The 26377-nt window shown below is 36.9% G+C and overlaps 1 protein-coding gene across 14 annotated transcripts in view, besides 1 other annotated feature; it reads right to left on the bottom strand.

The window, feature by feature from the left end:
• YAP1 (Yes1 associated transcriptional regulator) overlaps window positions 1–26377 on the bottom strand; it is a 122978-nt gene that overhangs the window by 14595 nt on the left and 82006 nt on the right. For 4 of the 14 annotated variants that reach the window (XM_005271378.4, NM_001282101.2, NM_001282099.2 and 1 more), the window contains 2 exons: window positions 12744–12937; window positions 9266–9313 (listed from right to left, as the gene is read on the bottom strand). In XM_005271378.4, the coding sequence (XP_005271435.1) occupies window positions 9266–9313; window positions 12744–12937 (242 nt within the window). The remainder of the gene's footprint in view (window positions 1–9265; window positions 9314–12743; window positions 12938–26377) is intronic. The other 10 variants (XM_005271380.4, NM_001130145.3, NM_001282097.2 and 7 more) reach the window with 3 other exon arrangements.
• Window positions 20778–21072: an enhancer, noted in NCBI's record as "tiled region #8516; K562 Activating non-DNase unmatched - State 24:Quies". NCBI's record gives its function as "activates a minimal TATA promoter and a strong SV40 promoter by Sharpr-MPRA in K562 cells {active_cell/tissue: K562}" and the evidence as "EXISTENCE:reporter gene assay evidence [ECO:0000049][PMID:27701403]".

Genomic DNA, 26377 nt, shown 5'->3' with positions numbered 1-26377 from the left:
TCAGCAGACACTGCAGAACCAACTATGCAGATTTATAAAGAAAGATAACTTAGAGATGTCAGTAAGCAGGGAAATCATTCCAAGTTACCTAAGGAGATATCCGACCCCTTGAAGGGCTATGGAAACACTCTTCTCATTAAACCTATATTTGAGCCATGACTAACAGTAACTAACCTAAGGATTCACCTAAATTAGACTTGAAAGAATCAATGAAAAAAAGACACTTTACTTACTGGTGGCAGGAGTGTATTATTAATCAAATAGGGAAGAATTTGGCATGAAAACAAATATAGTTAGCCTTTCATATCCGTAAGGCAACCAAGTATGGATCGAAATATTCGAGAAGAAAAATGGAAGGCTGTGTCTGTACTTAACATATATAGACTATTTTTCTTGCCATTATTCCCAATACAGAATGACAACACAGTTATAACAGTGTAACAGCTCTTTACATAGCATTTCCATTGTATTATAAGTAATCTAGAAATGATTTAAGGTATACAGGAGGATGTGTGTAGGTTATATGCAAATAGCATGCCATTTTATATAAGGGACTTGCTGGAACCAATCCCCCAAGGGATGACTCTAATGTAACAAGGCCAATGATACAAATAACATATATGCAGATTATGGATAGCATACTAAAGGTATAAATACTCAGCTGAGTTTTGAAACTTTTAGTTACAGGTGATTAGATATTCCAAGTAAATTTTGAAAAGCTTTTTGATATATAACGGATATACAATAAATTATAAAGTGCATAAATTGATGAGTTTTGACATGTGTGTACACCTGTGAAGCTGCCACTACAATCAAGATAATCATCCTCAGCCGGGTGCAGTGGCTCACACCTGTAATCCCAGCACTTTGGGAGGGTGAGGTGGGCAGATCACCTGAGGTTGGGAGTTCGAGACCAGCCTGACCAACATGGAGAAACCCCGTCTCTACTAAAAATACAAAAAATTAGCTGGGTGTGATGGCAGGTGCCTGTAATTCAAGCTACTCGGGAGGACTTGGGAGGCTGGGGCAGGAGAATCGCTTGAACCCGGGAGGCAGAGGTTCTGGTAGCTGAGATTGCGCCATTGCACTCCAACCTGGGCAATAAGAACGAACCTCCATCTCAAAAAAAAAAGATAATCATCCTCAAAATTTTCTCCCACTACTTCTCACCTCCCCTACTTCAACCTTCAGAAGCTAATCATCTGCTTTTTGTCATTGTAGATTATTCGGTATTTTCTAGAATTTTCTAAAATAAAATCATACAGCATGTACTTTTTCACTTAGTGTGATAATCTTGGGATTCATTCATGTTATATCCACAGTTCATTCCTTTTTATTGCTAACTAGTATTCCACTGTAGGAATATATTACATTTGTTTATTCATCTGTTGATAGGCATTTGGGTTATTTCTACATTTTGGCTTTGTGTAGAAACATGCTTTCGTTTCTCTTGGATACTCTAAAAATTTAAAAAAACCTTAAAAATATTCTAAGTGTTTCCAGACTTCTGACTACTTTTACTGCCTTTCTCATTATTTTTCTAAATGATGTGGACTAAGGCATCATTTTATGTAAGGCCAACATACCTTAACTTTCAAAACTACATAATCTTAGCATCTTTTTTGACTTCTGGGAAATTATATTGCTATTTACATGAGAGGAGAGAAATGTAGTAAGAAGGGCCAATGGCTTATGGCTAGGTCTTGGTTCCATAAAAGTCCACTAAATAAAGCAGGCAAACTCATGTTTTCTTTTATGAACCACCCTGCAAAGTTTCCTCCAGAACAAACTGGGACCCTTAGTTTTACTTACAGCGTAGATAGCTCTGACTCCAAATGTGTCCCACATTAGCTAAGATTTACAAGCTCAATGGGAAAAGCTACCACATTTTTGTATTATTACAGAAGAAAATGGCTAAAAATACTTGCTTCAGTTAGAAAAAAACTATTTGACCTTTGAAATACAGAACAGAAGCATGATTATGTTTTGGCTAAATTTCCTGTAACTTATTTCCCCAGTTTTGAAAGTCTGTCAAACTATTTATCCTAGTTACCTTTGGGAAAACAGAAGTTTAACAAACTTGTATTTTTAGTCCAGTATTCTAATTTTAGGCATTGTGTTCAGGATAAAATAATCCAAAAACTTCTTAGAGATAGACGTAACTTTCAACATGAAATGTTTCAACTGAAATCAGTTTTGTAGACAATCCAATTATGTCCCAAGGCTTATGGCTCAGGACATAATTGGACTGTCTACAAAAGAGCTATGCCAGATTTACCCAATTATGAAATAATGTTGATATTCACTGAAAATGTGTTTTGATAAAATTACATTATTGAAATATAATTGGCATTTTTTAACACAGGTATAAGACATATACAGGCTTATTTTTAAATGTAATATAATGGAGAATTTATATAAAATATATTTTTGATTAAACATTCGGATTAATTTGACTTCATGCTTACCCATATTAAGATTTTTTTTTAAAGTAGCAAAATGTCTAGATAACCCTGAAACAAATTTTCACTATTTTACATCTAAAATTCTTAGTTTCCTATGGTAACTTCACTTTCACATTTACAATCCTTTGCTAAGAATACAAGGAATTATAAAACTTACTCACGATGGAAACACATGATTTAACTGTTCCTCCCCAGAAGCAGGACACCTTATAGGAGAAAACTCTTTCATTTGTCTAACTTCATGGTCATTCTCCTTCATAATCTGACTAGGTAAAGCATGGAGTAGGATACTTTCCGAAATTTCCATTTCACTTCTGCCTCCTGAAACCTTTGTTATCTGAGTGTGTTCACGCTAGCACGCGCGCTTGTATGGGAGGCAGAGGTTGTTGTTTTTTGGCTAGACTGAACCACAAAGACATATCATATTGTTAAGAAAGGGAGAAAAAGGCTGGCCTGTTTTCTTATATAAATATATGCAATTTCCCTATCCCATGTCTACTAATTCCCTTAAATAGCAACACTATTTTATCTTCCTTACTGAACCCAATGAAACATACTATGTTCGTTGCATATAAAAATATTAACAGGCCAGGCGCAGTGGCTCATGACTGTAATCCCAACACTTTGGGAGGCCAAGGCAGGTGGATCACCTGAGGTCAGGAGTTCGAGACCAGCCTGACCAACATGGTGAAACCCTGTCTCTACTAAATATACAAAAAAAATTAGCTGGGGGTGGTGGTGTGCGCCTCTAATCCCAACTACTTGGGAGGTTGAGGCAGGAGAAGCTCTTGGAACCCACGAGGAGGAGGTTGCAGTGAGCCGAGATCGTGCCATTGCACTCCAGCCTGGGTGATGAGTGAAACTCCATCTTAAATAAATAAAATAACATAAGAATTAATGATTTGGGGAGCTAACTACCTAGTCAGTGTTACTTTCTTAAAGCAATTCTGTCTTTAGTAAATACTGCATTATATAAAAGTGTGTCTTTTTTCGATAATATATGGCACAGGAGCAAGGGGTTTTTGCAGGGAGGGTGGTAATCAATTTGTTTAAGGAAGATTAACTTAGTGAACTGGAAATCCAAATTTAGAAATGGAGAATAACTCTAAAAATATATGTCTTGTAAGTAGTTTGCCTTAGTGATAGCAGTTTATGTCAACAATTCTAAAAATAGAAAAAAATGCCATTTCTTCCAACTGTTTAAGATAGAGGTCTTGCCATACCCTATTTTCCAACACAGCTTTAAACTGTAATAAAACATTTTATTATTTCTAAAGTCATTAAAACACTGAGCCAATGCTTTATGTTTTTTAATGTTTATGCCATTTACCAAAGCAGTTTTAACTTTAGAACAACTTTTTTGATTAAAAAAAGTATACACATGGATTGGGGGACAGTTATGAGAACTAGATGATAATCTTAAACTCTGAAAAATCACATCCAAAACAGGATGGCAGGTTGGTGTTCCCTAGCATTATCCTAGGATTCTACATTCTTTCTGATAGACTTCTGGAATTAGGCCTTTTGTAATCTGTATTACTCAATCATGGTCTCAAAGTTATTATGGCACTGTTCAAATAACAAGGAAGAGGCAAGTTTAATAAAACAAATGAAATAACCAGTTAAAAGTATGTGAGGTGTGAGACTAAATCTTCCCTCTTATATAAAGTTTTCAATGTACCCATTAAAAATAAAATATAATATATTCATTGGAAAACCTTCAAATAAATCTATGATTTATTTAATATCAGAACTTCGAAGAGAAAGATAACGTTAGACAAGTGTTAACAGGATTTTGAAACAGCTAACATGAAAGACAGTTTGAAGGGAAAAAAGCCAAATACTTTACTTTTACTAAATTCAGGAAAAAAATGGTTGTTGGCAATTGTTTTCATATAGCTCTGAACAATGGTATTATTTTGTTCTCATTAACTACAACTGTGAACATCTGAACCTCTTCACTGTTGAGAGGTAATGGTGCAGTATAATATCCTCATCAGCAATACTGTGGGCTTTATTATTCATTAAACCAGGGACTGACCTTGGTGTCTATTCATTACCACCTATAAGGAATGGCAACTACACATTATTCAGTAGTTGCCAAATATTTATACTGTAATTTCTATACAGATTGAAGCAATTACTTGCCCAGAAATGAAAGTAACCCCATATCATACTTTTGACCACCTAAATTGGAATTATACTGGCTACTGAGTTAAGACATCTTTATACAGCAGTGTTGTTTTTATTTCTGGGTAGTTTCAAGAATTCTCTAATTTTCTTTTTTTGAGGCAGAGTCTCACTCTGTCACCCAGGCTGGAGTGTAGTGGCATGATCTCAGCTCACTGAACCGCTGCCTCCCAGACTCAGGCCATCCTCCCACCTCAGCCTCCTGAGTAGCTGGGACTACAGGTGCATGCCACCAAGCCCAGCTAATTTTTCCGTTTTTAGTAGAGATGGACTTTCACCATATTGGCCAGGCAGGTCTCGGACTTCTGACCTCAGGTCATTTGCCTGCCTCGGCCTCTCAAAGTGCTGGGATTACAGGCGTGAGCCACTGTGCCCTGCCTCAAGAATTCTCATAAGGGCACTTGGGAATGAATCTCACCCTAAGCCTTAAAACAGAAATGAAGAATCTTTACTGGTAAGAAAGGGGATAAGCAAGGTTCTCACTATGGGGAAAAGCTTGTGAGCAGAATAACAGCAACAAGGCAGTGGAGTACACTTAGCTAATAATGGAAGAGTTACTGGCTTAACTGGAACCAGTGAGTGAAAAGGCTACTGACCACAGACCATGAGCCAGTTGCAGAGTTTAAACTCGATCTCATAGGTACTAGGGAACCCCAGATATTAAGAACCAAATTCTTTTTCTTTTTTTCAAGACGGAGTTTTGCTCTTTTCGCCAGGCTGGAGTGCAATGCCACGATCTTGGCTCACTGCAACCTCTGCCTCCCAGGTTCAGGCGATTCTCCCTCCTCAGCCTCCTGAGCAGCTGGGATTAAAGGCGCCCGCCCCACCACATCCAGCTAATTTCCGTATTTTTAGTAGAGACGGGTTTCACCATGTTGACCAGGCTGGTCTCAAACTCCTGACTTCAGGTGATCCACCCGCCTTGGCCTCCCAAAGTGCTGGGATTACAAGCGTGAGCCACCGCCCCCAGTCCAAGAACCATATTCTTAAGCACAAGAGAAGGTAGAAGTGTTCGCACCTCAGGGGGGACTATCTTTCCTCAAAGTTCTTCTCTCAAAAGACCTTAAAACAGAAGCTAGAGTGCATTCCTAAACCCACTTGCTCAAAAGGTCTCTCCAATTTACAAGTGAGCACTGATGTGTAACAGAGATATGACTAGAAAATAGCATTAACTGCTCAATCTCACAAAGCAAAGATGTTTACAGTTTCAGAAAGTTTCTTCTGAGAATGGAAATTGCTTTTGAAACATAAAAATCATAAGTAACCAAAATGAAATTAAAATGTTAAGCTCTTTGGCAGGGTGTGGTGGCTCATGCCTGTAATCCCAGAACTTTGGGAGGACGAGGTGGGCAGATCACCTGAGGTTGGGAGTTCAAGACCAGGCTGACCAACATGGAGAAACCCTGTCTCTACCAAAAACACAAAATTAGCCGGGCATGGTGGCGAATGCCTGTAATCCCAGCTACTTGGGAGGCTGAGGCAGAATCATTTGAACCCGGGAGGCAGAGGTTGCGGTGAGCAGAGATCATGCCATTGCACTCCAACCTGGGCGACAAGGGCAAAACTCCGTCTCAAAATAAAAATAAAAATAAAAATAAAAATAAAAATAAAAAGTTAAGCTCTGTAAGGATGAATTTTTCCAAAATCCTGCCAACATAGTATAATAAATTAAGGTGATAATTTCCATATTTAACTAAGAAGATATATAAATGCCTTTAAAGTTTTTTCAAAATTTTACATTTCAATATCACTTGGGCCATGGATCTTGGAATTTTTCATTAACCTCACCCATACTGACGTTAGTGTACACGAGCACAGCACCCTACAACAGCCACATGATATGTTAAATCCTATAGGAAGTACTTAAAGACAGCTTCTGTAGTAATTCATAAGCATTTTGAAGTTTAGTGGCTTTCCACATCCCACAGCATATGAGGTATACGATTAGAAAATGACACTGATCTCACTATTGCTTGCTAACTCAGCTGCATTAATATCTATTACAAAGTATAAGTTAAAAACCCAGTAACTTTACAACAGCGTCTAGTGTTCAGATACTGAGTGATGTCTTTATACCCTCTGTTCTTTGGGGCTGAAAAGTCCTTTCTAGCTTTCTTGATTATTCTGAGAAACACTATTTAAAGCCATCTTCACTTAAGATATGACTCTTCTGGCTGGGCGCGGTGGCTCACGCCTGTAATACCAGTGCTTTGGGAGGCCGAGGCAGGCGAATCATGAGGTCAGGAGGTGGAGACCATCCTGGATAACATGGTGAAACCCCGTCTCTACTAAAAACACAAAAAATTAGCTGGGCGTAGTGGCAGGCACCTGTAATCACAGCCACTCAGGAGGCTGAGGCAGGAGAATTGCTTGAACCTGGGAGGTGGAGGTTGCAGTGAGCTGAGATTGCGCCACTGCACTCCAGCCTGGGTGACAGAGCAAGACTCCATCTCAAAAAAAAAAAGAAGAAAAGACATGACTCTTCTTTGTGATCTATTTCCTGACATCTACCTTAAGGTTATTTAGAAAATAATAGGATGAGAAAAATATACACATGCTTTCTTGATACAAATACCACCAGATTTCTTGATCTATTTCAAATATAACCCTATACTTGAATTTCATACATTTACTGATAACTTTCCACAATTATGCCAGGTAAATATTAAACACTGACAACTAAAGCATATATAACAAACCAATATTTTAATCTCCAGCATATGCAAAGAAGATTTTTAAAAACCTCTTTCAAGTTTTTTGCTCTGGTCTGGGCAAATCTGAGTAATTACCTCTAATCTTCGTATCTTAGAAGCTTTACTACTAATAAGCCTCACCTTTTCTAAAACTTTACTATTTTAAAAAATCTAAGAATTCCTGATAATTTTAATAACAGTAAAGATTTACTTTTCTATTCAAGTATGAAACAAAGATCAAGAAGAATTTGACTTATTTATCAGATTCAGGGTATAAGACCTTGGGAAAAAAGGAAACAATTTCAACATTTTTTTGGCATGGAGGACTTTTTACCTGAATCCAAATCTCCTTTGAGTTAATTTCTGCTCCTATATTAGTTTCTATTTCATTTATCATGAATAAAATTCTTCTTTCAGAAACACTTCAGGCCAGACGTGGTGGCTCACGCCTGTAATCCCAGCAATTTGGGAGGCTGAGGTGGGCGGATCACGAGGTCAGGAGATCGAGACCATCCTGGCTAACACTGTGAAACCCCGTCTCTACTAAAAAATTCAAAAAGAATTAGCTGGGCATGGTGGCGGGCGCCTGTAGTCCCAGCTACTTGGGAGGCTGAGGCAGGAGAATGGTGTGAACCCGGAAGGCGGAGCTTGCAGTGAGCCGAGATCACACCACTGCACTCCAGCCTCGGCAACAGAGCGAAACTCCATCTCAAAAACAAAAACAAAAAACAAAAACAAAAAGACAAAACAAAACAAACACTTCAGAGAAATGGCAAAGAAAAAAATGGCTTCACGTTATAAAGACCCAATGCTATCCTGCACTTCACAGTCAAATGGTATATTAGTGCCCCCTCATCATAAGAATGTCTATGCTCAACTTTGGTGAAGATGGCTTATTATTGAGTTATCCCTTGCTTGGTCTTTTGATTAATGGTGGCATTTATGAGATAGATAAAGAAGAATAGAGATTTTCCCTCTCACAAAATTAACTGGTTTCTATGAAGACTGTATCTGACTTTTATCATCATGGTGCTCCAACGGACAACTTAACAGTATCCAAAATGAGTAGAATTTTGCCAACTCCTACTTCTACAGCAGATTCTAAAACAATGTACTTATTTAGCATAGTGCAGAGTAAGTTACATAGAAGGTGAGGCATTATATGGTTGCTTCTGCCCCAAGAGAAGTAGAATGATCCTCTGGCTCCGAATTTCTTCTAATCTTGTGGACCTCAAACACCTAAAATCTTTTTGGTTTTAAGAACGAGATTCTTCCCACGAGTCAGACAAGTGCCTGTGTTAGAAGAAAAATTGGCCACAATCTTTCCTTCTAAATAAGATGCCTTCACAACCAGGGCTCCCTGGGGTTCATCAGAGAATGCTGATAAAAGCCAACAAGAAAACCTGAAACACTATCCAGGCAGATACTCTCCTGATAATTTTGATATTTTTCCTTTGGAATGTCCACTAGAAAGAATTTTTCTCTTCCTCATAGTATCATGACTCTAAAATTTCCTAAAGTAGCCTATCCAAGTAAATACTGCTTTTGTTACTGTTCAATTTATTAATTCCTTTAAATCATTACACATACTATTTTAAGCTATTCAAATAAAAATTAGGCATACCTAGCTGATAGGATGTACAACTGAGACACAATACATTTAAATATAGAATAAAAAAGACCTCCATGGAATCAAAATAAACAGAAACTCCCTAGGAGGAGCAGGGAGGGAGCAGACTGTGTAGACTTTCTTGGAAGGGCAATGTTAACCTGAGTATCTTGGTAGAAAGATGGCTCAAAGTTATTCTCTGGGCTAATGTCCAATAAGGACAGGACCCTGGAATGTAAGTTTCTCTTTCCTAATTTAATATCTTTTTTTTTTTTTTTCCAGTGCTAAAACATCAGATAAGAGCCTACCTGACATTTTGGAGAATTTGCTGTGCTGGGATTGATATTCCGCATTGCCTAAGAGTAAAAAATAAGACGGATAAAAATTACTTTAAGCCACATGGTCTGGCTGTGTAGGCTGACTTACAAATTGTATCCAGACATATCACCATAGCACAGAATTCCCAAGCTACCCAAGAAGAAGCAGACTGACGAAGACAGGAGCCAATGGAGTCACCACATAACAAAACTGGAACCTCAGAAGTTTTTAACAGCATTGAGGATAGGACAGCAAGACTTTAGGAGTCAGAACTAAAAAATAAAATTTGATATTGGTCACGTAGGTTCTTTGTTTCTGAGTATTAGATAAAGCAGATACAATATATTTGATGTTTCAGTGCTAAGATAAACTGTCAAGGGAAGAAGTTCACAGGAAGCCAAAAGACTTAAGATATACTGAATTTATTGTGATTACTTTAAAAAAATCTAAAAATAGTCTATTAGTATGAGAATAGAGCAGGTCTGTCAACTTCAACATAAGAAAAGACGACACAGTAGGCAGTAAAGATGAAACAAAGAAGTTACCTTTAAAGGAAGTGAAGCTATTCTGTCCAGGACCCATCACCCAGAGTAAGTTTGAGAATAAAGATTTAGGAAAATCTTTGGAAGGAAGAGTTTTACAAATAGCAGCATTTGCCCACCAAAAAACCCCAGGATGATCTATGGCATAAAACAAAATGGCGAATGGCCCCATTTCTAGACTTTACAAATTATCTTAAAAACAGTATGGTTTTGACATTAGTAATTAAAGAACTTTTTTTTTAGTTTCTTGATTTTGACAGTTTTTATTCATAGTGAAATTGAGACCTGTATTTACTTAGAACAACTACTACTCGGCAACAACAAAATGAAAAACAATGAAAATAGGTTACATAAAACATATTTTAAAACTGCTCTTTTTTTTTCTATTAGCCATGTAATTATATTTTTGATGGTTCTAAGGTGTTCTAACAATAGTAGACGAAAAATATTCTTCCTTTATGGTAATTTGTTAGAAAGTCAGAGGTACAATAATGCTTCCTTTCTCCATCCTTTTTTATGTCAGATAAAGAAACATTTCTTTCAAGATCACTTTATAGGGGCCAAAAGGAAAACTTCCCCTCTACCCTCTAAAGGTTCGCTGAAAATGAACTGATAATAGACAAATTAACAGGAGAAAATGGCAAACAAATTTATTTAAGGTGCATAAGCATGGGGGAAATTGCAAGACAATTATTACCCAATAACCAAGTGAGTTCCAGATACTATATAATACCCTTCTTCACAGGGGAAGGGGACATGAGGGAAATGACGCCATTTTGAAGGGCAGTAAATGATTTTTAGGAAGAATGAATGGGCCCAGTACACAGACAATGGTTAGTAAATAATTCTCTTTGGAAACTGAATGGGATCTGAGAACAGACAATAGTCTGGGCAAAGTTCCTCTGAGCTCTCTAGGTGTGATATTTAATTTTTAGTCTTTTCCTCTGTCATACAAGTTTCAGGCTTCTCTGGTTAATGAAATTTTGAGGAGGGGATCAAAGGCAATTGTATTCCTTTTGGTGGGTCTGGTTTCTAGGCAGATAAAGGAACTTCAAGGAACAGCCTCATCCTGTGCTTTGGCATAGAACTTGAGGCTGCTTCCTTAGTTTGTCAAAGAACCATATTTTGGAGTATCATTTTCTGAGCCCCAACAAGTTCCTGACATCGTATGTTGGCACATACTGTCTTACTCCTTCTATCAGGGTTTACCTTTGATGCCAATCACACTAGAATTGTATGGACAGATTACCGACAAAGCACAGTTTCAACGTGAGCCTGTCTCAGATGCCATGGCTTAATTTAACTCCTGAAGTACCAATTCCTCAAACCCCAAATCAGAGTTCAGGTAGTACTGAGTTCACATATTTTCACTGACACTCAAGAGATACTTTTAAAATACAGCCCTAAAAAAAACCCAAAAAACAAAAAACAGACCTTTAGGTGCCTCCTTCCTGGTAACAGAAATGTAGAGCTTTTTTTTTTTTTAAGAGACAGAGTCTCGCCATGTTGCCCAGGCTGGTTTCGAACTCCTGGGCTCAAGCAAACCTCCTGCCTCGGCCTCCCAAAGTGTTGGGATTAGAGGCATGAGCCACCATGCCTGGCCGAGTATGACGATTTTTAAATGTCTATACTTAGCATGCTGTGATTTAGCTAGGGAAAAAATGGCACAGATACATGTATTTTATGTATGTAAACAGAGTATCTCTGGAAAAATTAACAAAAAACAAAAAACCTAAGAAACTCATAGTTATTTAGGCCCCATAGGAGAGAACTAGAAAAACAGGGAAAAGATCTTATTTTGAGTGTACTTTCACCTCTGTACATCTATCACTAGTATACCATTTTTCTATTATCTATTCAAAAAAATTTTATATGGAAATTTAAAAATATCTACGCTACTTAACAAAAGACCTTATCTCCAATATCTGAACTTAGTAGATTTAACCACTCTGAAATAAGATAAAGTAAAAATTAATGTTGAGATTAATTATATATATTAGGAACATAAAAACCAACAGTACCTTCTGGAAGAAAGCTGATGGAATTGGTGATTAAAGGGCTTCAAAGCTCTCTACTATGTCCTACTTTCCCCAAAATAAAAAAACATCCATAAGCAGGTAATTTTAAAGCACACTGGCATCTTCTAAACTTGAAGATAACTTTTTGTTTTTGAGACAGAATCTCACTCTGTCACCCAGGCTTGAGTGCGGTGGCACAATCTTGGCTCACCGAACCTCTGCCTCCGAAGCTCAAGTGATTCTTGTGCCTCAGCCTCCTGAGAAGTTGAGATTACAGGTGTGTGCCACCACGCTTGGCTAATTTTTTTATTTTTAGTAGAGATGGGGTTTCGCTAAGTTGGCCAGGCTTGTCTTGAACTGGCCTCAAGTGATCTGCCCACCCTGGCCTCCCAAAGTGCTGGGATTACAGGCATGAGCCACCGCACCTGGCCAAAGGTAACATTTATTTTGTTTTCAATGAAAATTCTTAGATTCGGTAATACCGAAGTATATTTGTCATTTGAGAAATGTCATATTGGTGTATCCCGCCACGTAAGTTATTAATAAAGGATGTTTTCTCCTGAGTGATGTTCTAGAATTTCCCCTTTAGTGAAATCCTCAGAAAAACAGCAATCCACAATTCCATGTACATTAGAGAAAGCATCCTTGCTTCCTTCAATTTTTGCTCAATTGCAATGACCATGACCAAAACAGCTCTTCATGATACAGGTTTCCAAGTCACATCCCTTGTAACTTGATCAAAGGCCATTCACAGTCACAAAACTAAGACAAGGACAGGGCTGGATAGAATGCTTCTGTGTCACTCAGTTTTACAAAGACAACATTCCTCTGTAACTAATAAATGTTAAAATGAAATCTGCCCAACTTTAAGAAAACAAACCCCCAAAAGTGGAAGGCTGGTTTCTAACCTGTGGCCTCACCTGCCGAAGCAGTTCTTGCTGTTTCAGCCGCAGCCTCTCCTTCTCCATCTGCAGTTGCTGCAGTCGCATCTGTTGCTGCTGGTTGGAGTTGCTGCCACCCATGACGCCTCCCTGTGGGCTCTGGGGAGCCAGGGGTGGTGGCTGTTTCACTGGAGCACTCTGACTGATTCTCTGGTTCATGGCTGAAATGAAAAGAAAAAAAAAATCTGTCCTAAAAAACTAGTGAAGGAAGATAAAATGATGATTTAATTATTCAAAAGCAATTTGGGATATTCGATGTAACTTTTTTGGGCAGGAAGACTGGAAATAACCTAAAAATCCATCAATATCACAATGACTACATTAATTTATTATTACTGTTGTCACAAGATACAAGGAAGTCATAAGAGAAAAGAAACAAGACGTAGTTTTAACATGCAATAAGGAACAGTTTCTAAGGACTTACTAAATTAAAAGCAAGGTGCAGAAGAGAAAGTGTTTAAAAAAAACGGGGTGGGGGAAGGGAGCGGGGGTGAATATATTGCATATTCAGAGGATATAAAAATTGATGAATAGCTAAGAAGCAACTAACATCTTTTGGCTCCAGAGATGGGAAACTGGGTGACTAAAGGACAAAGGTGGAGAACCTTATTTATAACTTCTGAAGTGTGAATGATGCAAATTCATTACTTCTTATGAAATATATAAATTAAAAATTCATCCACAAAAATTAAGACAAAGCATTCCAAACAGCAAAGCCCATCAAAATAATCAGCCCTTAATATATCCACATACACATCCCAATAAAGCAAGTAGATTAAAATGATCTGATGCTTGCTCATATCAAATTGAGTCCACAAGTATCTGGATGACATGGATTTGTCTCATTTGACACCATGGTAACCCCCAGCACAAAGCCTAGGTAGTAAAAAAAAAAAAATTTTTTTTTGAAGCTGTAATACACCATTTGGTGGTTAGAAATGGACTGGGTTTTTATACTAGTGAATTTCTGTCACTGATACAACACTGATCAAACTGTGAATTAACCTCAGTGAGCAGAGGGAAGTTTTATGTGAAAATGTTAGTAAGAATAATAAACCTTTTCAGATACATATTCAACTTAAGTTGAAATTTTGGGTCACTGTTTCTACTAAATGTTTAGTACACATTGACTAAAGAAAACCCCAGGTCCCAATGGCTTTGCAGTCATTCAAGGAAGAAATAATACCAGTCTTACACAGCCTCTTCCAGAGCATAACAAGGAAAGAATACTTTCCAACACTTATAAGGCCAGCATAACCTTGATACCATACAAGGATATTAAAAGAAAGGAAAATTACAGGCCAATCTCTCATATAAACCTTGCTACAAAAATCCTAAATAACATACACTGACAGCTCTTATAACTTAATGGTCTCCCAGTCACACAGCAAACTCCTTGTGATTTTTAATGTGTCCCATTATAACAGACTGGCTGCTTGGTAAATGCCATTTCTTCTTGGAGACTACTTGAGCAAAACCTCACAAGGCTGGGCCCATCCTATACATTAAGAATTTTCTTCTCTCAAGGAATTGCCTGGGAACTTTTCCATATTGTCTACTGACATTTATTGCCTGATTCTAATTTTTTACTTACAAATTTATATGCTCCCTCAGACTGAGTGCCACAGGAGTATGGGTCATATCGTAGTCATCTATGTGTCCTCAATACCTAGCACAGCATCTGGCACAAAGTGTGCGCTGAAAAAATACTGAGCCATTTCTACATAAGTTGAGTAGTTACTCACTGAGGCAGAAACTATTTAAGACAACAGAAGTCCTACTTTTAATTTCTCTTTACATTAGCACACCTTTTTTTTTTTTTTTCCCCTTTTCTGTCTTACTATGTTGCCTAGGCTGGTCTCAAATGCCTGGCTTCAAACAATCCTACTGTCTGTCTCTCAAGCAGCTGAGACTGCAGGCGAGCATCATACCTGGCTCAAGACTGCCCAATTCTTCTATCAGGCTAGCACAGCACCGAGACAGAACCAAGGATATTAAAGAGAGGAATATTACAGACCAACCTCCCTCAGAATAATGCCTTAGTTCAATCCAATCTTCTCAGCTACCTGTTAATAAAAGATGACTGCATTATTAACTTATTTCTATTTTTTCTGTTCTTTTTCCCTCCAGCTTTTCTGTGTTTCATTTTCTAACTTTTGAATTGAACTTAATTCATTTACATCTTTTTTTGGAAGACTTAAGTCAATAAACTTACCCTTAAGTCCTGCTTTACCTGCATCCCACATGTTTTGAAATAGTATAATTCATGACTGTTCTATTCCAAAAAACGTGTAATTTCTATGGTGACTTACATTTAATTCATGAGCTATTTTGGAATATATTTTTATGTTTCCAAACATATATTTTACATTTTGAAGGTAATTTCCATAAACATAGAAAAGTAGAAAAATTAATACAGATAATGAATCCTTGTGTACTCATCACTCGCTTTCTTCCCAATTGTTAATACATGGCCAATCTCTTTTACCTCTATCCTCAACTACTTTTCAGCGCCAATTATTTTCAAGCAAACAATATAGCATTTTACCCATAATTTTAACATGTATTTCTAAAAAGACAGGGCCTTCTTTAAAAAAAGAAAAATATAATTACAATACCATGATTACACTATCAAAATTTACCAATTCCTTAATATTATCAAAAGTCCATCCCATGTCTACATTTCCCTATTATCAAGGGAATTATTGTTATTTTTACAATTGGCTTGTTCAAAACAGAATCCAAACAAGGTCCATACATTGTATTTGATTCATAATCCAAGACTTCTTTAATAACATGGTTCTGTGGTTTCTGGATCATCAGGAGGAAGAGCACCTAGCAGCGTTTTAGAAATGCAAATTCATGGGCCCTAACCCAGGGCTAATGAATGAGAAACTACGGGATGAAGCCAGCAATCTGTGTTTTGACAAGCCCTCCCAGTGACTTTTGATTCATGCCAGCGCTCTGAGGACCACTGTTTTAATACACAGGTTCCCCCTTGGTTTTTTCTTTGTCATTTATTTGTCAAAGAAACTGTGTCATTTGCCTCAAAGAATCTTCTACAACCTGGACTTTGCTCATTGCATCCCCATAGTACTATGCAGCATGCTTTTCCATTTCTTGGTTTGCTGTAAACAAGTTCGAATATAGAGGCCTGATCACAATTTTTGGCAAGAATACTTCATTGGTGGCACTACATGAGGAGAGAAGGCACAAGATGACTGTCTTCATGATAAGGATGAATCAGTGGTGCAGATGTGGTAAACTTATTATATCCATTTTAGGTTATTTTCACCCAATGGTTTTTAGCAACCACTGATTTTTTTAAACCTAAACCCATTATTTCATTAGAGGTTACAAAATGATGGTATCATTCCTTCCCATGTATTATTTGAAGTTCTATAAATAAGAATTTTCCCATATTAAGTATTTGGTTACTCTGAAACATAATTTGTACAGGTAAGATACAGAATAAATGTTTGATTCATTCCCTTTTTGTGTACACTTTCAGGATGATGAGTTGGTCCCAGAGTCCTCCAAAAGGTAGCCAATGAGGGTTTAAAAAAAAAAAAATCGGCCAGGTGCAGTGGCTCACGCCTGTAATCCCAGCACTTGGGGAGGCCGAGACAGGCGGATCACGAGGTCAGAAGATCACGACCATCCGGGCTAACATGGTGAAACCCCATCTCTACTAAAAATACCAAAAAAAAAAAAAAAAATTAGCCAGGTGTGGTGGCGGGTGACTGTAGTACCTACCAGCTACTCAGGAGGCTGAGGCAGGAGAATGGCTTGAACCCAGGAGGCAGACAGAGGTTGCACTGAGCCAAGACCGCGCCACTGCACTCCAGCCTGGGCGAAAGAATGAGACTCCATCTCAAAAAAAAAAAATAATAATAATTCTGATACTCTGCTACCTGGAGCGAAGGGAAAAAAAATCATTATGAAATCACAGATTTGAAAATATGTTTATGATGTGTTTTAATCCAGCACAGTTATTCTGATCAATGTTCAAAGTGTGCCATATTTGACCAGGTCAAGCTGGATCTTTTTGCTATGGCTACAATGGGCTTGTTCTACTTCCTTGTTTGCTTTTAGGCACAAAAAGATGTTCCAAGGTCATCTAGTATATTCCCTGCCCCAAATTTTACTCAGCCTTTTTTGAAGAAGCCCTGATTTCTTTGAGTGGGAAATGGTATTTAGAGACATTACTCTGCGTACTAGGGGGTACCTATTATTATTCTGTTGCTTTTTTGTAACTGTTTCTAGGTGGTACTCTCCTTCAGAAAATGCATATTTCCAATTCAGATTTAGGATGCATGGTTTTTACTTTGATTTTGTAACAACTGTTTTTTCTCATGCTGAAAAACTGGGTTCTAACAACATTAATATGTATTGTCCTCTATACATACGCAATCATCTAAAAATAACATTATGATCACTAAAATGATTCAAGTTTCAGATTTCTTTGCAATTTTATCTCCTTAAGATATTCCATTAAGTACATAAAGTAAAATCACTGTGCTTTAAAGTCACCTGAAATTATTCTTCTATAATTAGCCAACCACCTGAAATACAGGTGTACTTATGACATTCTGTCTTTGAATTTCAGAGATTTGCTTTATTTCCCACCCGCTTCCTCCTACCTCCAATAGGTAACAGGTAAACTGTATCAGTATTTCCTTTATTCTACCCTTAAAAATGTAAGCAAACACATACACATCACACATCCCTTCTTCTTTGATATATGGTAGCATACTATGCATACTTCCTTCCACTTTGCTTTTGCCTTTGTAACAATATATCCTGAGATAACTCTAAAGCAGTATATAGAGATTTTCCCTCATTTTCCTATTGACATAGCTGGTTAATATTCTATTCAACCAATTTCCTATTAGGTTTTCATTATTAGTAAAGAGTACTGTACAGAATATGCTCATACATAATTTTGTATTTCTGCTACTATATCTTTGGGTAGATGTCTATACGGGAGATTGCTTAGTTGAATGTTGAAAGCATAAATAATTTTGCTAGATATCGCCAAATTTACACCACCGCCCCACCCCAGGAGTTGTACTTTGATGTATCCTCACTAGTAATGTAAGAGTGCTTTTTTGCCCCCAAGGACTTGCCAATTTTGGGTTTCTGCCCATCTGAAAGATGAGTAGTATCTCAGTATGATTTTATTTTTGCTATGTCTTATTATACAATCTATACACTAAGGATAAGAAATCTGTGTCTGTGATATAAGTTACCAATAATTTTCCTCAGATTGTCATCTTTTTGCTTGTTTTTCATAAGAACTTATTCTTAGCCAGGCATGGTGGCTCATGCCTGTAATCCCAGCACTTTGGGAGGCCAAGGCAGACGGATCACTAGAGGTCAGAAGTTTGAGACCAGCCTGACCAAAATGGTGAAACCCTATCTCTACTAAAAATATAAAAATTAGCTGGGCGTGGTGGCAGGCACCTGTAATGCCAGCTACTCCAGAGGCTGAGGCACGATAATCACTTGAACACGGGGGGCAGAGGTTGCAGCACGCTGAGATTGCATCATTGCACTCCAGCCTGGGCAAAAAGTGCAAGACTCTTGTCTAAAAAAAAAAAAAAAAAGCTTATTCTTTACTCAAATTTGTCAATCTTTTTAAAAATCTGAATTACATTTCCTCACTTTCAAACTACAGAGAAATTCACCCATTTTAATTAAAAAACTATAGTTCTCATTTACTTGGCAACTCAAATCTGATCCACTGCAATTTTTTCTGTTGTATGGGATGAATGGATCTAATTTTATCTTCTTCCATATGCTAACTGTGTATCTTTCCCCTCATCTTTATCATAGAATAAATTCTGACATTTTGTTATTTCCAGATTTTTTATTTTATTAATCTAACTATTCTTATACTAGTACGGCAGTACTGCCTTTATGTTTATACTATGTAAACGTGTAAGTTATATACATGTATATATGTGTATATAAACATTATTTAGTATGTACAATATGTACAAAAGTACAACTTTAGTAGTATGTTTTAATAGCTGGTAGGGCAAGACATGTTTTTTGAAACTAACTTTTTTATTATAAGTTTAAATTTAGTTGCATTGAGGTTTAAAAAACATAGTCTACATAATATTGATTCTAGACAATTTGTGACTCTGTGACTTGACAGTGGTCAATCCTTGTAAACATTGTCCTAGGCCAGGGCCAGGTCAGCTGCACGCCTGGCTTTTCCCATTGAGCGTGTTTTGTGTGTCCTCTTCCTTATTAATACTTTTATTAACAGTTCTTCTCAGGAGCCAAATGGCCCCTAAAACTGGCAGGCCTCTAGCACTACCCTCAATGCTTCATGTGGTTTTATTTTCTGACCTATAGAGATTTTTAAAAAATTCCTACCCTAGTTGTGTCTTTTTGGTTATCTTGTTTTAATATTTTGTCTGGAAGAAGAGAGAAGGGATGTCAAAACATGACATACTGCTCCAGCTTGTTCAAAGCCTTATTAATCTCATATGGAAAAAAAACATATTTATTAACTCACGAAGACTTATGAAATGGCTTTATAAAAAGTAAATGGCTAAAACTTTCATCCTTATAGGTTATAGTTTATTATTTTATAGGGCAATGGATACGAAAAAAGCCAACAATTTTTGGGACCTAAGATTTGCCAGGCACCAACAACCTCATGTAATAAAATTGCTCTTATCTGTTACCAACAAACATAGTTACATAATTGACAGGTATCATAAAAAACACAGCCTTTAGAGTCAAATGAACTTGGATTAGAGTTGGGCATACTAATTTGGTAATTCACTTAATCCTTGGTTTTCTCATCCGTACCATCAATACTGACATCTCCATTTGAGTTATTATGAGGACTGATTATTCTCTCACACACCTGGAATAGTGGGTGCTCCATAAACCTTAGTCCTCTCTCTTCTGCAGAACTTCTTTCTAAACCTAAAGACTCTGACTCCTACAGACGAATTCCATATTTTGATGATTCCTATACCTCTCTCCTTCTCCTCCACAAACACATAGACATACACATACATTCTCTCTCTCCCTCCTCCTATTTTATCATACCATTTACTGTTTCCAAATATTCCTATGATTTACAAAAATATGCATGTTTCTCTTTCCTACAAGGTCTAAATAGAAAAAAGGTAGTGGAGATTGAGCCAACGATATAAGAGGATCCTTCTCTTTCGGTGAAACATCTTCTCGGTGTTTCAATACAACACTCAACATATTTCCACACAGAAACATTTTATACAGTGTGCTGTGCCAGGTTTGATAGCATGAGTTAAATATGAATTGGGGAACTGATCTGAGATTCATCACATACAATGAACATGTCGTAAATTGAGGCCCAAGGCAAACAACTATTGGGGAAAAGTGTTTTTGGTTCCAAGCAATAAAAAAGCAAAACACCAAAAACCTGCTAGAAAATAGCCCATTAGTAAGCTGAGGAGTGTTGGAATTATAAAACATGATTGATTTCAAAACAGATTCTAGAGCTATATACACTGTTAAATACTTCATCTATTAAGAAACATTTGGATAAGCTTTTGAGCTTTCCCCATTATATTTTCATTATGTAACATAACATTAAGTTATTTATGAAATAACATACATTCTTGGTGAAAAACACTGAATAGCAATAAAATTACACAAAAATAAAGTGGTAAATATCCTTTGCTTCTCACCAGTTTCCCAGAATTAGATACCAAAAGCAGTAATCATTAATGACAATAGCCAATGCTGACAACAAACTGAATTGGTTGGTAAGGTCTTTTTCAAATCTAAGCTTATCTGACTATTCAAAACCACGGAACAGGAAAAATTAGTTAGGATATCAAAAGATGAAGGAAGAACCAGTCCACAGAATTAAACAGAAACTTGCACAAAATTATGTAAGAGAAATACTCTGATGACTATTGTGAGTACTTTTGGCTTTACCTAAATGTTGTTACCTATGGATACAAGCAGCACTACAAGGTTTCCATAGAAAGAACTCACTTAAATGACCAATTCAAACAACCTTGTTTATCTACTGAAGCTGGGATTTATTCCTCTCCAGAAGCATCCTGTTCTTTACCTTCTGAGTATCTTAAGTCTTTCAACAAAGCACAGAGCGGTGCACCCACATGGGGTGCAGCAGAGACCTCACAAGCAGGCAAGAAACAAAACCGGCTTTGTTTCCTGGGGAAAGGGGGCAGGGCAGCAAGAAAAGAAAAGAATAGCATTACCAACTTCTTCCTCTGGCTATCAACTATTGAAATCCCAATGTTTCCAGTTTTAATAAAATTTCCAAAAGGTAAAAACAAAACAAAAACCCCACAAAATGTCAGAATTTTAAAAATTATGCAATATTTTAAAATTTAGAGTCTGTGCTTCTTGCACTACGAAATAGTAACTGTTTCAAGTTTTGCTTAACAAATCAGCCCTGACAGCTTTATGGTAGAAAACCAATGACTGAGCAATTACTGAAAAATAAGGGACTACTTTCTCAAAAATAAAAGAAAGGGGTCATCACCATAGGTTTTTTTTCCCCAAGTTTCATTCTAAACATGTGAATTTCCAAACTTCAGACAATTTTTAGATTGTCTAAAAATTTACATGATTTGTAACCTCAAAACTTGGATTATAACAATGTATTACAGATCTGTTAGTCATAAACTTTGGAATAATAAATTTAATTCTAGTAATCTTACTGGGTATACATTTACAATAATAAACGATTCTTAAGCTATTAAAACATTACATCAAATCTCCCACAACAAAAGCTTTTGTCTAGTATTTTTTCAAATCTCAGACACTGAATATTTCCATATTAGCATAGCTATATTAACTTGTTCAAAACATTTAGAAGAAATATTTGGGTTTTCCTCATACCTACGAGTGTACTCAAAACTACAAAACAGTAGACTTTTTAAAAGAAATTAATGTTCTTCTAAAAACACAAACTAATAGGCCATCTGTGGGTCTTAAAGCAGTAAAAACAAAACACAAAACACTCACTCCTGGCTCTAAGTGTTTACTGCATGACCTAAGGGGACTGAATCATCAATAGAGAGTCGCTATAAAGTGGCATAATAATTTATCTACTTAAACATAAAATGTAGTTTTTCAGTAAAAATTGCTTATTTTAATTCACACTGAAAAGCTATCTTTTACAAAAGAAAAGGAAAAGACGAGTGTCCTAACCTAATGACTGAATACATCTTTTTATGATCAATATACAAAAGGTATTTCTCAATACACTATATACCTAAATGACATCATGCCTAGAAATAATTTTTTCTCTTTACTGGGATAATTCACCCTTGTTACATGTACTGTCTGGTAGTTCTTACAAATTCACAGAATTGTACACCCATTGCCACGATCTAATTTCAGAACATTTTCATCACTTCAAAAAAAAAAAAAAAAAGTCACAAAAACAAAAACAAACAAAAAAGCCCTGTATCCATTAGCAGTTCACTACCTACTGCCCTTCCTCCCAGTCCCTGGCAACCACTAATCTACTTCTGTCTCTATGAATTTTCCCATTCTGGACATTTCTAAAAATGGAATTAAGCAATATATGGCCTTTTGTGCCTGGCTATTCTCATTTATAATGTTTTCCAGATTTATTCATGTTTTAATATGTATCAAGCACTGCATTCCCTTTAATTGCCAAATAATATTCCATTATATGAATATACCACATTTTGTTAGCCCATTCATCAACTAATGGACATTTGGGTTATTTTCACTTTTTGGCTATTTATTATAAAATAATACTGCTGTAAACCTGGGTACAGGTTTTTGTGGAGACATACGTTCCCACAACGTGGAGACATACGTTCCCAATTCTTTAGCCTCTATACCGAGGAATGGAATTGCTCGGTCATATGGGAATGTTATGGTTAATGTTTTGAGGAACTGTCATTCTATTTTCCAAAGTGGTTACATCATTTTTCAATCCCAACAGCAATGTATGAGGATTCCAATTTCTCCACATTCTGGACAACATTTGTTATCTTTTCAAAAAAAACTTTAGCCATCCTAATGGGAGTTAAGTGTTATCTCATTGTGGTTTTGGTTTGCATTTCTCTAATGATCAATATGTGGGGACAGTTCACCTGCTCTAACATCCTACTCTAGGTTTTGTCACAGGCTAAGTAACCTCTCCATCCCACACTCTGCACTTCTTTCCCCACTTCTGGTACCAATTTACTGTATTAGTTTGTTCTTGCGCTGTTAATAAAGACATACCCAAGACTGGGTAATTTATAAAGAAAAGAGGTTTAACAGATTTACAGTTCAGCATGGCTGGGGAGGTCTCAGAAAACTTACAATCATTGCAAAAGGGGAAGCAAACATGTACTCCTTCACATGGCAGCAGGAGAGAGAAGAATCAGTGCTCAGGGAAGGGGGAAGCCCCTTATAAAACCATAAGATCTTGCGAGCACTCACTATCTGAGAACAGGATGGGAGAAATTGCCCCCATGATTCAATTATTCCCACCTGGTCCCTCCCACAACATGTGGGGATAATGGGAGCTACAATTCAAGATGAGATTTGGGTGGGGACACAGCCAAACCTTTTCCCCAGCACCAACTCCCAGCCTCCCCAAACTGGATTAAAGTTTTCACATCTTTAGCTGTTCAAAAATACTGGTAACAAATATCAATACTTTAGTCAATTCAACTTCCCCCTCCTCCAACCATAAAAATTCATTATAATGTTATTTTTCAAACAATACAATCATGAATGGAGCTAAAAGAAAACAAAAAGAAATCCAGCAGAACATTTTCTCCTCATCACCTCATCAAGCAGTTTAGGGCAGGACACAAGGGTTGCTAAATGAGGTGAGGCAGAAAAGGGAGAACGTGTTCTAATTAGCTTTCAGCTCTCTTTGTCCCCAGAGCACAGCTAGATGTTTTTCCCCACTATGAAAATAAACTTTAAGGTCTAGTTAGGAAAGAAAGTTCAGATAATGAGACTGTAGAGAAGCAGCCAGACATGGTGATTTGCACCTGTAATACCAGCTACTTGGGAGGCTGAGGCAGGAGGACTGCTTCAGGACAGGAGTTCAAGACCAGACTGAGCAACACAGAGATACACCGTCTCTAAAAAACTAAAAATTAAAAAAATAAAGGGGCATTATCTTTTAAAATATACTTGTCACTATTAATTCATGTTAGATTAATGAATAAACAGGTCAATTATAACACTTTATTTCTAATTTCATTTATTACTAGTAAAGCTCTTTCACAGAGGATAATTTATAATTTAGAAGTGATGCATACCTCAGAGTTTTTACTGAAAAACACAAAAACTGGTCTGAAATTTGACTGGTGGCTTCCTATGTGCCTTTTTGAAAAACCTCCCTTGACCACCCAGGTGCAAGCAGGTTCCCACCACCCTAGTTCCTTTCACCCCACATTGTTTAGTACCTTTTACCATACTTAATACATTTGTAATGATTTATTTACTTGTTTAGTAGCTTGTTCCTCCCAACCCATGGCTAGCATAGTGCCTGGCATGTAACTGGCACCCAAACTTTTGTTGCATAAATAAATAAATCCTAAAATAGTTTCTCTCCCTAGTTAGGAGGATGCTATTAGTAATGCACAGGAGAATCTCCAAGTTGAAGCAAGTCCAGAATGAGTTCTAAAATGACCTTAGCAACTAGGGTAGCAGAACAAAATGAGTATAAAACAAAACAAAACAGAATCTGAACCACTCTCCTTCTAAATCACACCAATTACTTTCAACAGAAATTTGACCTTTCCAATAATTCTATAATCTCTTTCTTTTTCTTACATCTGAATCTTTGGGTTGGTACAAAAAGTAGCAAGCAACACCAAATGGTTCCTCTTTTCCAGCATATAAGATGTTTGCTGTTAATACAGAGTTAATACAAATATAACTTGAAAAAGTTTCCTTTTAAAAAACTATGTAAAAGGCTTGGCACGGTGGCTCACGCCTGTAATCCCAGCACTTCGGGAGGCCGAGGTGGGCGGATCACGAGTTCAGGAGATCGAGACCATCCTGGCTAACATGGTGAAACCCTGTCTCTACTAAAATACAAAAAATTAGCCGGGCACGGTGGCAGGCACCTGTAGTCCCAGCTACTCGGGAGGCGGAGGTTGCAGTGAGCCAAGATTGCGCCACTGCACTCCAGCCTGGGCGACAGAGCGAGACTCCGTCTCAAAAAAAAAAAAACAAAAATCAAACAAAAAAAAACCCCCAAAAAACTATGTAAGGTCTTTTTAAGTGTGTTTGATAGCGGCTTTAGTAACACGAATAAGGCATTAGTTTAAACTATCATCTAATTGACGTTGCTGGTCTTAAACTTTCATGTTTAAAAAATCCTGTATGAACAATGTACTCATTATGTAAAGAAAGATAAAAATGTTTCTTCACTGTATAATTAACTAATTGCATCAATGAAATACTGATCAAGTAGAAATTACCTATTAGTTTATCCTCCGTAACATATGTCTACTCAGCCTTGGTTAGTACAGGAGAGATTGCTTACCATAACTGATAAACTATTTTGGAACTACCTTACTGGATATTTTCCCTAGCTAACCAAAGTATTTATTTTTAGATAAAAAATAAAACATTTTAAAAAGGAACAGCGAAATTTCACAAAACATAGTTGAGACATACTGGACAGAGGAATACAACTAAAGTTGTTTACTTTTTAGAATATATCCTACTGAATTTAACATAAAATTTTAAAAACTGCAGAGCTCAAGTGTGGAACTAATTTTGAAATCTATTCTATAATCTTATGTATTAAAATATTCATTTAAGCAAATGCTTGCTTTTGAAGGAAAAAGAAAATGTAGTGAGAGCAATAATTACTAACAATCTCTATTGGTATGTCTTAAATCAGGTTTTGCTAAGCACATGGCCTGGAACTAGGCTTCAAATCTGCTTACATTAGACTTTCTGTCATGGCAACTTTATGGGAGTTTTAAATTTTAGAAACAAAGTGTACCAACAAGGCATCATCTTTAAGGCAATAAAGCTGAACTTTGCTAACATGAACATGTTTAAACTCCCATATGCTTCCAAGAGTTTGAGAGTGTGGACAAAGCTTAACTATTCAGCCCAGCACTTCCCACACCCCCCATCAGATTTGTTTGCCTGGACATACTCACCATGTGATAAGGCTTATCTTTAGATTAAAGGCTGGAAGATTTCCCTGTCTCCTCTTCAAAAGTAATTCCACACTGTGACCAGAGGACCAAAGTTAAACTTAAATGGTGCAATAAATAGTTCAAAAGTATCTCTGAAACCTCAATGCACTCAAATCAAAAAGGCTATTGAGAAGTAACCTTAAGCAAGAGTCCAAAGCAGTTACTGAGCATATTGTATTCAGTTAAAGAGTGGAAATATTCTTAAGAGCATCCAGTCTAATCCAGTCACATTTTACAGATGAGTCAAGAGAAGTTAGGTATCTTTCTGATCCAGTTGGTTATATTGTGATAGCAGAACTTGGGTCTCTTGATTTCCAACTGAGAAGGTAAATTTTTCTACATCCCAATTTAATTCAGTTGAATCAAGTACATTGTTGTAACTATCATGTGGAAAAGAGATGCTAG

Source organism: Homo sapiens, chromosome 11, assembly GCF_000001405.40.
Source record: "Homo sapiens chromosome 11, GRCh38.p14 Primary Assembly".
NCBI classification, from domain to species: domain Eukaryota; kingdom Metazoa; phylum Chordata; class Mammalia; order Primates; family Hominidae; genus Homo; species Homo sapiens.
This window is presented reverse-complemented; position numbering and strand designations above follow the sequence as displayed.